This window comes from Homo sapiens, chromosome 1 (genome assembly GCF_000001405.40).
Source record: "Homo sapiens chromosome 1, GRCh38.p14 Primary Assembly".
Classification (NCBI taxonomy): Eukaryota; Metazoa; Chordata; class Mammalia; order Primates; family Hominidae; genus Homo; species Homo sapiens.
In genome coordinates, this window is record NC_000001.11 from 240961662 (window position 1) to 240975860 (window position 14199).

Below are 14199 nucleotides of genomic sequence, written 5' to 3' on the forward strand. Positions count from 1 at the left end.
TGCAAAATGGCTTAAATGGCATTTGGCATTGAACTGGTACCTTTCTGAGGACAACAGTTTATAGGGGGAAGAACAGTTTCAAGGACATTAAGAGGCAGCAGAGAGTTGCAAATTCAGAAGTTTTATCAACATTGATTCTGAGATTCCACATTCTATCTTTAATTGATGATTATATTGTCCAAAACTTTTCACTTTATGCAAGCTCAGAGAGAAAAAGAGAGAAGAAAGTGAGTAAGGGAGGGAAGAAGGCAGAGAGGAAGGAAGGGAGGAAGGAAAATAAAAAGAGAGAGAAGAAAGAGAGAGAGAGAAGAAAAGAATCTGCCCTTAATTTTGCTACCTTCCTAAGTGCGACCTTATTGCAATTTGCTCCCCTTCCTTTTGAGTTCATGCCTCATGAAAGAGTATTACACACGTATGTTCCTTACTTTCAACTCCCAACCCCTTCCTTAGCTCACCGTACTTGTCTTCTTCCGGCAGAAGTCTACTGAATCTGTTCTCTCAAAGGTCACCAATGACTTCCTAGTAGAAAAGTTCTACCACTTCCCCACTCTCTCCCAGTCTTCTCTGCTTAAGCTCTGGTGAATCTCCCTTCCTGGAGCCCTCTATGTGGCTGCTGTCACGCTCTGTCTACTCTGCTATCTTTCTCTCCGGCTCCTGACCTAGTTTTCCCTACCTTCTGACTCCTGCTCTCTATGGTTAAAAGTCTCTTAAAAATCTATCTCTGCTGTAGCTTCCCCTTTCCTTTGTTTCTCTCTATATTCTTTCTTCCTTGGCAAGCTCATCTAATTTAAAAGGTCTGCTTACCAAATGTGTACCTCAGTCATCATTTATTCAATGTAGGAGAACAAAACCCACTAGACAAGGTGCCAGCTCTGTCTATAGGAAGTCAGTAGTCTATTTAATAGGTGAAACTGGCAAATCAACAGACACTTAACTACACAGTCTAATAATTTCAACAGGGAAAAAATGCAGTGTGTTCTGGAAAAACATTAAAGGAAGATCCAATCTAATCTTGGGAGCTCAGGGAGATTTCCTGGAGGAGTTGATATTTAATTCAAGTTCTAAGTAAAAAGACAGGAGTATGAAGCAAGAGAAGGTTCCAAGCAAAGAAAGCAGCATATGCAAATTATTGTGATTAGGGATATAATGTCATTTGAGAAACCACTATCAGTTGGGTGGCTTGAAGACACAGCATGGGTTGAAAAGTGATCTGAGCAGATGCAATGATATAAATATGGCTATATCAAAAAGGGTTTTAAATATAAGCTAAAACGCTTGTTTGAACATTATCCTGAGGAAAATGGGGGGATCTATTAGTTATTGAACTTCAGAAGAGACATGATTAGATCTGAGTTTTGGAAAGATCATTATAGATGCAGTGAAATGAATTGACTGGTGTGGGAAAAGAGGAAAAGGAATATGAGGTAGAAAACAGTGGCAGTTCCTAGTGAGATGTGTTGATGGTTGGAATGAGGAGTGAGATAGTGGGAGTAGAGAGAGGTGGACAGATCTGATATTTAGGAGGCAAAGTCTGCACAGATTTGGGGATAGAAGAATTTCGTCCATTTAGATTTGTTCAGTCTATGAGATGCCCATGAAACGTCCAAGTAGAGATCTATAGCAGACAAGACAGTTGGCCAGGAGCTCAGAAGAGAGTCCAGAGGTATATTTGTAGTGGTTATCATACCAACAATGGGCAAAATAAGGAAGTGCATAAACTGTGAAGAGCCAAGAAATAAGAAATCTCATGCCTGGGTCTCCAAAACCCTGAAAGTTAAGAGGCAAATAGAGAAATCTGTGAAAGGTACTAAGATGGAGGGTGATGAAGTTATGGCACAACAAAGAAGAGAGTAATGGAAGCTAAAAAGGAGTGAAAAATGCTGCAGTGAGGCCAAATTGAGGACTGAGAAGTAATCATTGAATTTTGCAACAAGAAAAATATCAGTGATCACAGCAAATAAGGTTTCAGTGTATAAGTGGGGGATACACACCAGATTCCAGTGAACTGAGAAATAAACTTGAGAGAGAGGAATTAAGAGACAGTAAATGCAGCTGAGTTTGTGAAAATAGGAGAGACATAGGAGAATAGCTAGCGTGGACCATGAATCAATGTAAGAGTGTATTATGATGGGAGAGAACTGTGGTGAGTAAGCCTATACAGATATGGCTGGTTAAGATATAAAAGTGAAATATAAGAATGAAATGTTGGGCATGGTGGCCCACGCCTGTAATCCCAGCACTTTGGGAGGCCGAAGCGGGTGGATCACTTGAAGCCAGGAGTTTGGGGCTGCAGTGAGCTGTGATTGTGCCACTGTACTTCAGCCTAGGTTATAGAGTGAGACCCTGTCTCAAAATGAAAATAAAAATAAAAAGGGATGAAACAACACTGAGGTGGTGAGAGAGGATGGGGTAAGAAGCACAGGGAAGCTCAACACAGACAGCAAGAGAAGCAAGAATGGGTGCACACAGAGTCAAAGTGTATTTGTAAAGCAGAGCGAGTTAAAACATTAGAGACATTTCCTCCTTGCTTTCTATTTACCCTGAAAGATTATGGTCTGATATTGAGAATGACTGAGAATGTAGCATGCCAGTAGAGGAAGTGGAGAAAGCTTTGAATAATCATCCCACTAAATAGGAGATCGATCCGATTACAGAAAGGATTGCCAGGAAGTCAGGAAGGCCTGATTGAGGTTGGGAACCATGACATCTTGGTAGCAATAATTTATAGGATTGAGTGACTTTTCAACAGCGACGTGCAGAATTTCAGATAGACACGGGAATACAACAAGATTGATCCAGGATCAGAAACTCTCTTGGTGGATGCACTGGGAAACCAAGACTGGAGGAAGTTGAGAGCATTTGTGAGTTGTAGTGTCTGATCGTTTTTGCTGTTGGTGTAATGATTTCTTTAATGTCACTCTTGCCTGTAAGAGGGGCAGTGATGTGTTTATTAATCATCACTGTACCTCCAGTGCAAGGATGGGGACATTTTGTGTGTGCATTAACAATTTATTAAACGCATCACAGTCCTACCTGCAAACCTGATTTATTTGGTTACTATTTTATCACCCTATCATATTGCAGAGATTTTTTACCTTGTGACCAACCAAAAGTGTATTTTATTCGAACTTAAGGCAAAACATTTTGACATCAGAGATGAAGAGACATCAAATCTATTTTTTAAAGAGGTCATGAAAAGAACATCCCTTTGTCTTTCCCGACACTCCATTTATATTACATACATTTTCCTTTCGGACACTTGTTCTGTTCTGTTCTCTTGGGTAAGTGTCATGTGTGGTTTAAACTCAGGGCTCTTCCTTCTTTGTGGAACTTTATCAGATACGTTGATGGTGACTAATTAGATGTTTCAACTTCAAACAAGTTAATGTTTCAACTTCAAGTTGAAAAGATTATTGCATTGAACTGTACTCTTTACCTTTGCTTCTCTCAAGAAAATGTTTATGGCCCTATTTTCTTATTCTCATATGTTTGCTTCTTAACTGTTTAATGATGTCACTGCCTCTCAATCAACTCTCTCCTAGGCCTCTACTGTCCTCATTAATTGCAGAATATAATTCCACAGAAGCCCCTTTATGATGCTGGAGAATTTTCACATAATTTGTATGATAGAGTCTAAGTAATACCTATGTTTCTGTCCCACTCTTTACTTTGAAATTTTGCACCTCCCTGCCAGTTTGCTTGCATCTTTTTCTCTGACTTTGCATGCTTGAAATCGATTATTTGGTAAAATGCCTCACCTTCCAGGTACAGAAGTGTCCCCAACCACACAACATTATTTGACTTTTAGTAGTAGTTCCTTAAGACATGTCCCCAGTATTTCCTTACAGCAAGTGCTCACGTAAAGCAGACGAATATTTGACAAAATCTGCAGGAGACACAGGTGGAGAGTGAACGAGGCTCACAAGTGGCTGCCATCAGCCCTTCCTTCCCGGCAGCAGTGTGGAGGGGCCGTCAGCTGCCAGACACTTCACACTCCACTGTTTGCTCCCGTTTCTCTTGTAAAGGGCTGGGTGGGACAGCAGGGGTGTGATGACATGATTCCCAGTGACAGAAATCTTGGCTCCTGTTGGCTCTAAGCTGGACAGACAAGAAACTGGATAAAAATTCTTTTAATAATTTGTTTCCGTTTACAGTACCACGTCAGTGACCACAAATTTATTAGGCTGCTCTTGGACATCTGTTAGTAAATCGGGCACATTCATCAAATGTGAGGCCCCAGATGGGAGCTGGAAAGCATTAATAAAATGCAGCCAATGTTCACGAAAAGGCAAGGCAGTGGAAATTTACCTATTGTAGAGGGAGGAGGTGCTCTCTGTGCTTAATAGCTCTTCGTCGTATACCCGACTGAGCAGAAATATCTCAGTGGAGCAATTCTGGGATTTATGTGATGCAACCACCTACCATCTTTGTCTTATCTCTTACTTTTCACAGGCATGAACCTGTCATTCTAGAAACACTAACCTACTCATTCTCCCTAAACTATATAAAAAAAAAGTCTGGATATGCTATTTTTCTAAGCTGGAAGTAAATGATCCGACCTTGAATTGTGATTAAAAAAAGATTATTTGCAGGATGTCATGACACTTTACAATGGCTTAAATTTTTGAAAAACTTAGGAAAAAAAAATCAAAGTATAACCGAAAGCAGTTGTTTCAGTTAATATGACATTATTTTAGGTTTAGAGATAAATTTCCAGCAGAAGAATTTGTCTCTTTATGATTTGTATGAATTCTTGCTATGGCCTTGCTGTTCCTCTGCTTGGGTTTTCTCTTTATGATTTGTACGAATTCTTGTTATGGCCTTGCTGTTCCTTTGCTTGAGTTTTCCAGAACGCCACACCATTTCAGTCCACAAATAATGGTTTGTTTCTAAGAGGAGCTACTATTTGCTCATAAAACTCATTTTCTATGGAATAAAAGCAGCCTGTTTAGGCTGATTCAGAACCTGTAGAACATTTTCCTGTAGTTGGGCAACCGCTCTCCTTGCTTTTACTTAGAGAAAAAATTGATTAATCGAAACCTATGGATAATAGCTTTGGGAAGTTTCATTTTCTATTTGTAACTAAACATTTTCTATGTCATGAAGGGTCAAGGGAACCTAGGGTTTTTCACTTTAAGGTAAACCTCCAGTTACAGCTTAAACTATGAACGTGGAAATGTCTCCTATATTGTTAAGTAAAATATGCAAGATAAAACAATCTATTTTTTTAATGTTAATATTCTCTGTTAAGTGCATTCAATTCAACAATGTTTACTGGTTACCCAACATGTGTGAAACACTATGTAGGGGTTAGGGACAACACAAAGAACAAAGTCCTTCTACTTATAAAGCTCATATTCTAGTGAATATGTGGCTCAGACTTCGGGAAATGTCCTAAGTCAGACCATGATGTGTCAGTGTGGGACAGCCCATGCCCCTGTCAACAGGGGTGGTGTTTGTCATGTCAAGATATCCTTGGAAGTGGTCAATCTTAAATTGTTCTTGAGGTCAATCTGACAGTCGGATATGAGACTTTAGAAAGCGTGGCTAAGAGTAAAATGAAGAAACTGTTTACTCTTTTTCTTCCACTAGGAGTCACTTGAGCCCAGACTCTGGGCCTAAATATACCTACAAGATTTTAGTGATATTGGCCACTGTCCTGAGACATGAGAAGAGCCTCAGAGAAGTAGCTTCTAAAAGACACAAGGATAGATCTGGGCTGGGAAAGGGTCGTAGTTACCCTGTGTGCTGTGTTTTTCTTCTTCTATCCCTGGAGCTCAACAAAACCTTGTGAAAAGTTAGAGTCTGAGAGATCACGGAGGAAGTCTGTGAAGTGGTACAGGCTGCGTAATACCCCGGGCACAAGCAGTGCCCTTGGCTAGGGTCAAAGTGATTGTGCCAAGAAGTGGGGGGGGGGGGGAAAAGGCTGTAGCAAGAGTATGGGCTTCACAGGCCGCTGAGGGCAAAGAGACATGAGATACTGGTTCACGAGAGGCCCGAGAAAATGACCACATATGGGGAGTAGGAAAGACACTGAGTGGGGCTCGTTCCAATGATAAAGCCAGAGTGGGCTCAGGCCTTCAAAGAAGACTGGACAGACAGATGTGCTAGAATTTTAGCTATGGCTATCTCAGGGAGCTTTTCGTGAGTGCTTTTTATTTTCTTCTTTTTATTTTTTTCATGTTTCCCAAATTCGAAATTACAAAAAGCAAATTAGAGTTATTGCTTTTAAAGAATCCAAAATGTTTTAAGAAAAATGTATACATTATAAGTAACTACATGTGACATTTGACTCCTGTCCCTAGGCAGGGGCTGCTGAAACATCTACCAACCAATATCCATATCCAAACATCCAATATCCAAACAACCAATATCCAATATCCCAGGAAGACTTGGCAGATCAGTTCGTGAGGGCCAAGGGTTCACTGATGGTGCTGCCAAAAGTAAGAATAAAGATGGGGTGCACCCATCACTTCTCACACAGGAAGCCCATGACTATCCACACATACCCGTGTTCATGGATGAACCCCAGCAGAGGAAGAGGTGAATGTCATGTTTGCTAAAACAAATGAGTAAGCCTCAGGCCTTTGAAAACCAGACACTCCCTCTTCCTACGGGCATTCAGTAGAAGCAAAATGCTACTGATGCCTGGCAGATCCCTTCCAAAATTTGGTTTAAATCAAAACAGCAGTTATTACCCGAAAATAACACAAATCACAATCTGAGCATGTGCCTCCTGTGAAATGGAGATAATCAGAATTCAACATGGTGCGTATAATGTACTGTAATGGGCCTCAAAGCCCAGGTATTAGTGAGCACGGCAGGAAGCAGGAATTCTGGATAATTCAAGAGGCCCCAATCACTTGAATTTAATATAACTGCAAAATTAAAAAAAAAAAGCATTTTAGTCTCATTAGACTTGCAGCCTCCCTCACTTAAAGGGGAATTTTCAAAATTTGAAAATCGTATCAGATGTTACAATTGAGGTTTTTAGACTCATTATTTTTAAAAGGGTGACCTTTTACTGTACAGCAGGAACCTGTCTTGTGTGGTTTGAGACAAATGACAATGAAGAGATGGATATGTTCCTAGGATCATATTTAGGCTATAAAACATCTATCAGTGCCCTTATCACACTTTTTGTACTGCTGTAGTTAGCATCTCCTATCATTATTAGCTGTGATAAAAGAAAATGTTTCATGAAATATGACATAGAAATAGAATAAGCAGCATTGTTCTCAACTGAAATACAGGAGGGGGAAAACCTAACTCATTCCTCATCTGGGAAATAAGAAATACCGCATTATCTTTAATAAAAGATAAAGGGACCTGACTTTTCAGACAGCTCTTACACAACTATCTATGGCCGCTTCTGGGTAACAGATATAATCGTACATTTCTCTGTCATTTTCTGAGTGGCTACCCTGATGAATAGGCACATCCTTAGATGATATCTTCTGCTCTAGGCCTTATTAGCTTTATCCAGTGCTTTTTACTTTTCTTTTCTTTTCTTTTCGTCTATTCTTCTTCCCTTCTTCCTTTTTAAGGAAAGTTGCTTATGTCTTATTTCTTTGCCAAAGGAAATTCAAGTCGGCTTATAAAAGGAACACATATATGCAGAAAGGAAAGTGAGGCTCTAAAAAGAAGAAGAAAGCAAAGAGGCCAGCCAGCTACTGGAAGAATCAGACAATGCCACAGGACAATTGTGCATCGTCCATTTGGTCTGTGTAGCCATGTTCATTTTTGTTTTTTCTAGTGGACAGTGTAGAAATATCAAGCTCTGCTGTAATAGGAGATGTTCCTGTGTGTAATTAAACACATCTCCAAATGTCCATTGAACCCTGGCCTCATTATGTTTGTTCAAGTTCTACAAGATAAAAGACAGAAATTCTAATTAGATTTCCAGCTGCCTTTTGTATTTTCCTTAATAGCTGACAACTCTAATAAACAATATATATTTAAAAAACCAATCAGATAAAAATGAGAGAGGTCACAAAACTCTGGGACTGGCATTTATAGATGCATGTGCTGTCCAGCAAAAACCAAAAATGGAATTAGGACAGACAGATCACCTGCTGGTCTCTAACAAACGTACTGTGTTGGCATGATGCCGACACACCAGGTATGAATCCCAGCTCTGCTCCTCGGTTCTGCTGGGAGTCTCAGGGGCTTCATCTGTGAAGTGAAGGTGACATCCCTCGCCTGGAGCAGTGTTCATGCTTTTAAATCAAATGTATCTGGGTTTGAATACTGGTTATCTCTCCTATTCGCTTCATGATCTGAGACTTACATTTTTAAATATTTCTTCAAATTTTCTTTCTTTTCTCTTGGAGTTCAGAATAATATATATCAAGTTCTCAACATGATGTTCAGCACATAGTTGATGCTCAGTAAATGTGAGCTTTCTTGCCCCCTTCCTACTTACAAGAACTAAATGAAAGGACAACATCCAGCATGGTACCTGGGGAGACCCAATTGATTAATGCTCATGTGTGATAGTTCTTTTTTGCTGGAACTGCAATATAGTGATAGAGGTGGGAAGTGAAGGCAGCCAGAAACTCAAACCTGAAAAAGCCTTTATCAACGGGAAAGATGGTCTGAAATAATGGCAGACATCCTGGGGGAAATACCCCCTACTTTGGCAATGAAAACTTCAACGTATGGCCTTCATGAAGACCTTTCAGTACATTCTAGGTTTGGGGACTTTGTTGTGCAGAGCAATTGGATAATTATACAAGTCAATGGAAACAACAGTCACTCGTTGCATTACAGAATGCAGTATTTAAATGCAAACGCAACACCAAAAACAAATAAGGTGGGGAGTAAAAGAAAAGAGTGTGGCTAGCTTCTAGGTTAAATAAGACAGTTGGTCCCAACAGGTTGGATGTGACGGGACTGCACTGGATGGCACTGATCACTTTGAATGGCAGACATCACAGAGCAACATGTGCAGACTTCTCACTTTCTGTACACTAGAGCATTCCCAAGAGGCAAGAGGCCACCAAAAGAGAGATTCTTGGTGTTGTTAAATGTGTAAAATATGCCAGGCAGAGTGGCTTACACCTGTAATCCCAGCACTTTGGGAGGCCATGGCAGGTGGATTACTCGAGATCAGGAGTTCAAGACCAGCCTGGCCAACATGGTGAAACCCCATCTCTACTAAAATACAAAAATTAGCGTGGTGGTGTGCCCTTGTAATCCCAGCTACACAGGGAGCTGAGACAGGAGAATTCCTTGAACCCGGGGGGCAGAGGTTGCAGTGAGCTGATATTGCACCGCTGCACTCCAGCCTGCATGATACAGGGAGATTCCGTCTCAAAACAAAATAAAATAAATAAATAAAATAAAAATAAATGTACAAGATACCATAATTTTGGTGGCTCTGCTGTAGACTGAATGTCTGTATCACCCCCAAATTCATACGGGAGGTGATTAGGTAATGAGGGCACAGCCCTTATGAATGGAATTAGTGCTTTTATAAAAGAGGCTCCAGAGAGCTCGCTCTCCCCTTCTACCATGTGAGGCCACAGCGAGAAGACAGCCATCCATGAACCAGAACGCAGACCCTCAGCAGACACAAAGGCCACCAGCACCTTGACCTTGGACTTCCCAGTTTCCCAAACTGTGAGAAATAAATCTTTCTGTTGTTTGAGCCACTCAGTCTATTGCATTCTGTTATAGCACCCTGAATGAACATAGATAGGGTACCAACAGAATATAGGCAAAAATAAATTCCTCCCTTCTAAAGAAAAGCTCCTAATACGCTGAAATGAATACACAAAGAAAACTATAGTTCTTGCTCATCTCACATGAAATAAGTAGAACTACATATAAGATTCCCTGTGTACACAACTAGGAAGCTCCAGCTGCAGTAGCCAGGGTGTGGGATGAGAGCAGGTACCCAAAGATATGAGGACTTTGTTTGTTCCTTAAGCATTATTTATAATATAAAATGCACGTTTGCAAGATGAATGTTTGGGTAATATCTATTATCTTGAAACTAGGTCAAATCAATCAATCTTGTTAGATTTATACTTAATGGCTCCAAACTATGACTTCTTGCATATTATCATCAGAGTGTTAAATATATCTCAGAAACCTAGAATGTTTTTATATAGTGGTCTACTAGCACTGGAACGATAATAAAGCGGTCATTTTTATTGATCTCCTATGGACATGACAGCTTGCTCAGTGGACAATAAAATATATATTTTGTAGGTTTATAGGTTTGTAAGGGTCTTAATGGTTATTTGCAAGGGATATTTTAAATGCTTCTACCGCTTCCCTCTACTGAAGCAAGATTGTTGTTTGAAACAATTTGAAGAGCATACAGAAAAGATCTGTTTTTATTGACCTGTAATATACGAGTTGAAATACATAGGAAATTGCTCTAACAAAATGGAGTATCCAGAATGCAACAGGTAAATATAACATCAAATCCAAGGAAATACATTACTTTATTCCAAAAGACATTATGTAATGTACCTTTGGGTCAGTTGGGTCCATGCCTCTCTTATGGTTGCCCGCCATTTATGCAAAAGCAGAATCCAGGTCTGAAATAGTTGTTCAAAAAGGTGCAGGACACGTATGTTTATTGCGGCATTATTCACAATAGCAAAGACTTGGAACCAAGCCAAATGTCCAACAATGATAGACTGGATTAAGAAAATGTGGCACATATACACCATGGAATACTATGCAGCCATAAAAAATGATGAGTTCATGTCCTTTGTAGGGACATGGATGAAATTGGAAATCATCATTCTCAGTAAACTATCGCAAGAACAAAAAACCAAACACCGCATATTCTCACTCATAGGTGGGAATTGAACAATGAGATCACATGGACACAGGAAGGGGAATATCACACTCTGGGGACTGTGGTGGGGTGGGGGGAGGGGGGAGGGATAGCATTGGGAGATATACCTAATGCTAGATGACGCATTAGTGGGTGCAGCGCACCAGCATGGCACATGTATACATATGTAACTAACCTGCACAATGTGCACATGTACCCTAAAACTTAAAGTATAATAAAAAAAAAAAAAACAAAAAAAAAAACCCAAAAAGGTGCAGGAGTCTGGTGCAGTGGCTTATACCTGTAATCCCAGCACCTTGAGAGGCCAAGGCAGGGAGATCCCTTGAGACCAGAGTTTGAGGCCAGCCTGGGCAACAACCCCGCCTCTCAAAAAAAAAAAAAAAAAAAAAATTAAAATCAACTAACTAAATGAATAAATATCAGCTGAGTGTGGTGATACATGCCTGTGGTCCCAGCTATTCAGGAAGCTTAAGCGGGAGGATCACCTGGGCCTGGGAGGTCAAGGGTGCAGCGGGCCGTGATTGTGCCACTGCACTCCAGCCTGGACAACAGGAGAAAGACTCCAATTAAAAAAAAAAAAAGGAGCAGGCACACAGGGTACAGGTTGTACCTACTGTGCTTTTATTTCAAGGTTTTTGTGTGACTTTAGATATTCACAAGTTTCTCTCCTGTTAATTTTCTGGTTGTAAATTGATGAGATATCTGCCTGGCTACTTCATGATATTGATATGATAATCAAGTAAAATAATTTAATTAAGGCTGGGGGCCATGGCTCACGCCTGTATTCCAGCGCTTTGGGAGGCTGAGGAGGGCAGATCACCTGAGGTCAGGAGTTTGAGACCAACTTGGCCAACATGGTGAAACCCTGTCTCTACTAAAAATACAAAAATTAGCGGGGCGTGGTGGCTAATCCCAGCTACTCAGGAGGCTGAGGCAGGAGAATCACTTGAACCCGGGAGGCTGAGGTTACAGTGAGCCGAGATCACGCCACTGCACTCTAGCCTGGGTGACAGAGCAAGACTGACTCTCAAAGAAAAAAAAAAATCTAATTAAATGATTTGGAAAAGCATAAAACACTTTATAAGTCCAAAACATTATCAAAGATAACAGAGACATTCTTTTTTTTGGAGATGGAGTCTCGCTCTGTTGCCCAGGCTGGAGTGCAGTGGTGCCATCTCAGCTCACTGCAAGCTCCGCCTTCTGGGTTCACGCCATTCTCCTGCCTCAGCCTCCTGAGTAGCTGGGACTACAGGGGCCCACCACCGCGCCCGGCTAATTTTTTTTTCTATTTTCAGTAGAGACGGGGTTTCACCGTGGTCTCGATCTCCTGACCTTGTGATCCATCCGCCTCGGCCTCCCAAAGTGCTGGGATTACAGGCGTGAGCCACTGCGCCCGGCCAGAGACATTCTTTACTTTCTCAGTTCTGATGCACCCTCATGTTCCTAGGGCTGTAATTTCATTGGCAGTTTAACTAAATTCGTGGAATACAAAGGCCATTTGTAATGGAGTTTTATTAAATTAATTAACAAGATTTAGAGCACTTTCTTCTTCAGAAGACTTGTGGCAGGCTTGGGAGGCAGATGACAGACTCTATAATGGTGTGCACAATGGATTGATTTAATTCATTCGGTGATAATTAAGTTACTTGATCCAGTTGTTTGATGGTGTGTAAGCAAAACATCTGGTTGATTTGCCTGAATCTTGATTTTCACTGGTATTTTTACAACAGATATTGCTTCTAGAGGAAGAAACTTTGCAGGTATTTGTCATTAAGTTTTTATCCTAGATAAATTATATTTATCCTTAATCTTATTCTTCTATCTGCATTTTAAGCCATTTTGTTTACACTGGGTTTTGTTTAGATAAAAAACAATTCATTTAAAATTTCTTTCTGTTCACGTTCTCACATCCATTTAAGAGAGCACAAACTGAATCATCAGTTACCATAAATCCGATGCCACTTCAGTGAATTCCCATCAGTCAAAAAAACAAGTGATTATTGAGAATTGATTGACCGTGGCACTTCATTTGATGGCTGGAGAGGGTATGTGTCCTCTGCCATTATGTTGCTTAGATTCAACTGAAGTGATGAGACCAACATACATAAAATAAAAAATATAAGATAATTAAACTAAGCAACAGATAAAGTAGTATCAAATGGAAATATTCTTTCAGCTCATGGCAAAGAAAAGCCAATGGGGGCTGAATTATGGAAGAAAGGCTCATGGAATAGGCTGTATTTGAAGACTAGTATAAAAGTTGTATGCATTTCTAAAAAATTCAATTCAGTTAAATGTGCTTGCACATATTCAGAGTTTTAAAAATTTGGCCTACATAAAAATACAATTAAGATTCTGGCCCACTTGCATGTTGATTCTTTTAAGTATCACAAAACATGGTATTAAAAGCACTTTTCAGAGGAAGGGAAAAAAAAAAAACCAGAGAAATTAATTTGCCCAATGCCTGTAACCAGTAAGTGCTTGAAACAGGATTGAAGCTCAAGCATGTCTGCAAAGCTCATGACCCTCTTCAATGCCAGGATTCCTCTCAAGGAATGCTGAAAACTCAAGAAGCATGGGATGATGGAGAGAAGGAAAAAAGATGGAGCAAATAGCTGCCACTCAAAGAACACAGAAATGCGGCCGGGTGCGGTGGCTCACACCTGTAATCCCAGCATTTTGGGAGGCCGAGGCAGGCGGATCATGAAGTCAAGAGATCGAGACCATCCTGGCCAACATGGTGAAACCCCATCTCTACTAAAAATATAAAAATTAGCTGGGCGTGCTGGTGTGCGCCTGTAGTCTCAGCTACTCAGGAGGCTGAGGCAGGAGAATAGCTTGAACCTGGGAGGCAGAGGTTGCAGCAAGCCAAGATCATGCCACTTCACTCCAGCCTGGGCAACAGAGCAAGACTTCGTCTAAACAAACAAACAAACAAACAAACAAAAAAACACAGAAATGCATAACGTTCCTTGATACCCAGGAGTGACAGCAAGACTCATTTCAAATCTTAGCCTACTCATTAGATTGAGGGTCTTAAAGTACTATTCTCCCTGGTCAGCATCACTAGATGAGCTTAGTCAGGATGACTCTTACAGTGAGAGGCAGCAAGGGGCACAAATGAGCAAGGTCATGTCAAGGAATTACTGATATCTGTCAATAATTTTGTGAAGGATCCAGACTTTCTTGAAGCTTTTTATTTTGATAAATTTGCTCAAAATATTATCCATAATTAATATGACATGATATTAGTCATAAAGCATGTTTACTAAGAAAACAATAAATCTGTTCTGGAAGATAAATTTTGCAAACTCAACCCGAAGGATAGTAGGACTTATCACAGAAGGGCAGGTTTAAAAGGCAGAGGAAACACGAACGTG

General features: G+C 40.4%; 1 protein-coding gene across 22 annotated transcripts in view, besides 1 other annotated feature; it reads right to left on the reverse strand.

The window, feature by feature from the left end:
• Positions 1–14199, reverse strand: part of RGS7 (regulator of G protein signaling 7) — a 582489-nt gene that overhangs the window by 186920 nt on the left and 381370 nt on the right. The window lies entirely within an intron of this gene.
• Positions 8454–9024: an enhancer, noted in NCBI's record as "NANOG hESC enhancer chr1:241133415-241133985 (GRCh37/hg19 assembly coordinates)". NCBI's record gives its function as "activates a minimal SCP1, AML or CMV promoter by ChIP-STARR-seq in naive H9 embryonic stem cells {active_cell/tissue: H9 hESC(naive)}" and the evidence as "EXISTENCE:reporter gene assay evidence [ECO:0000049][PMID:30033119]".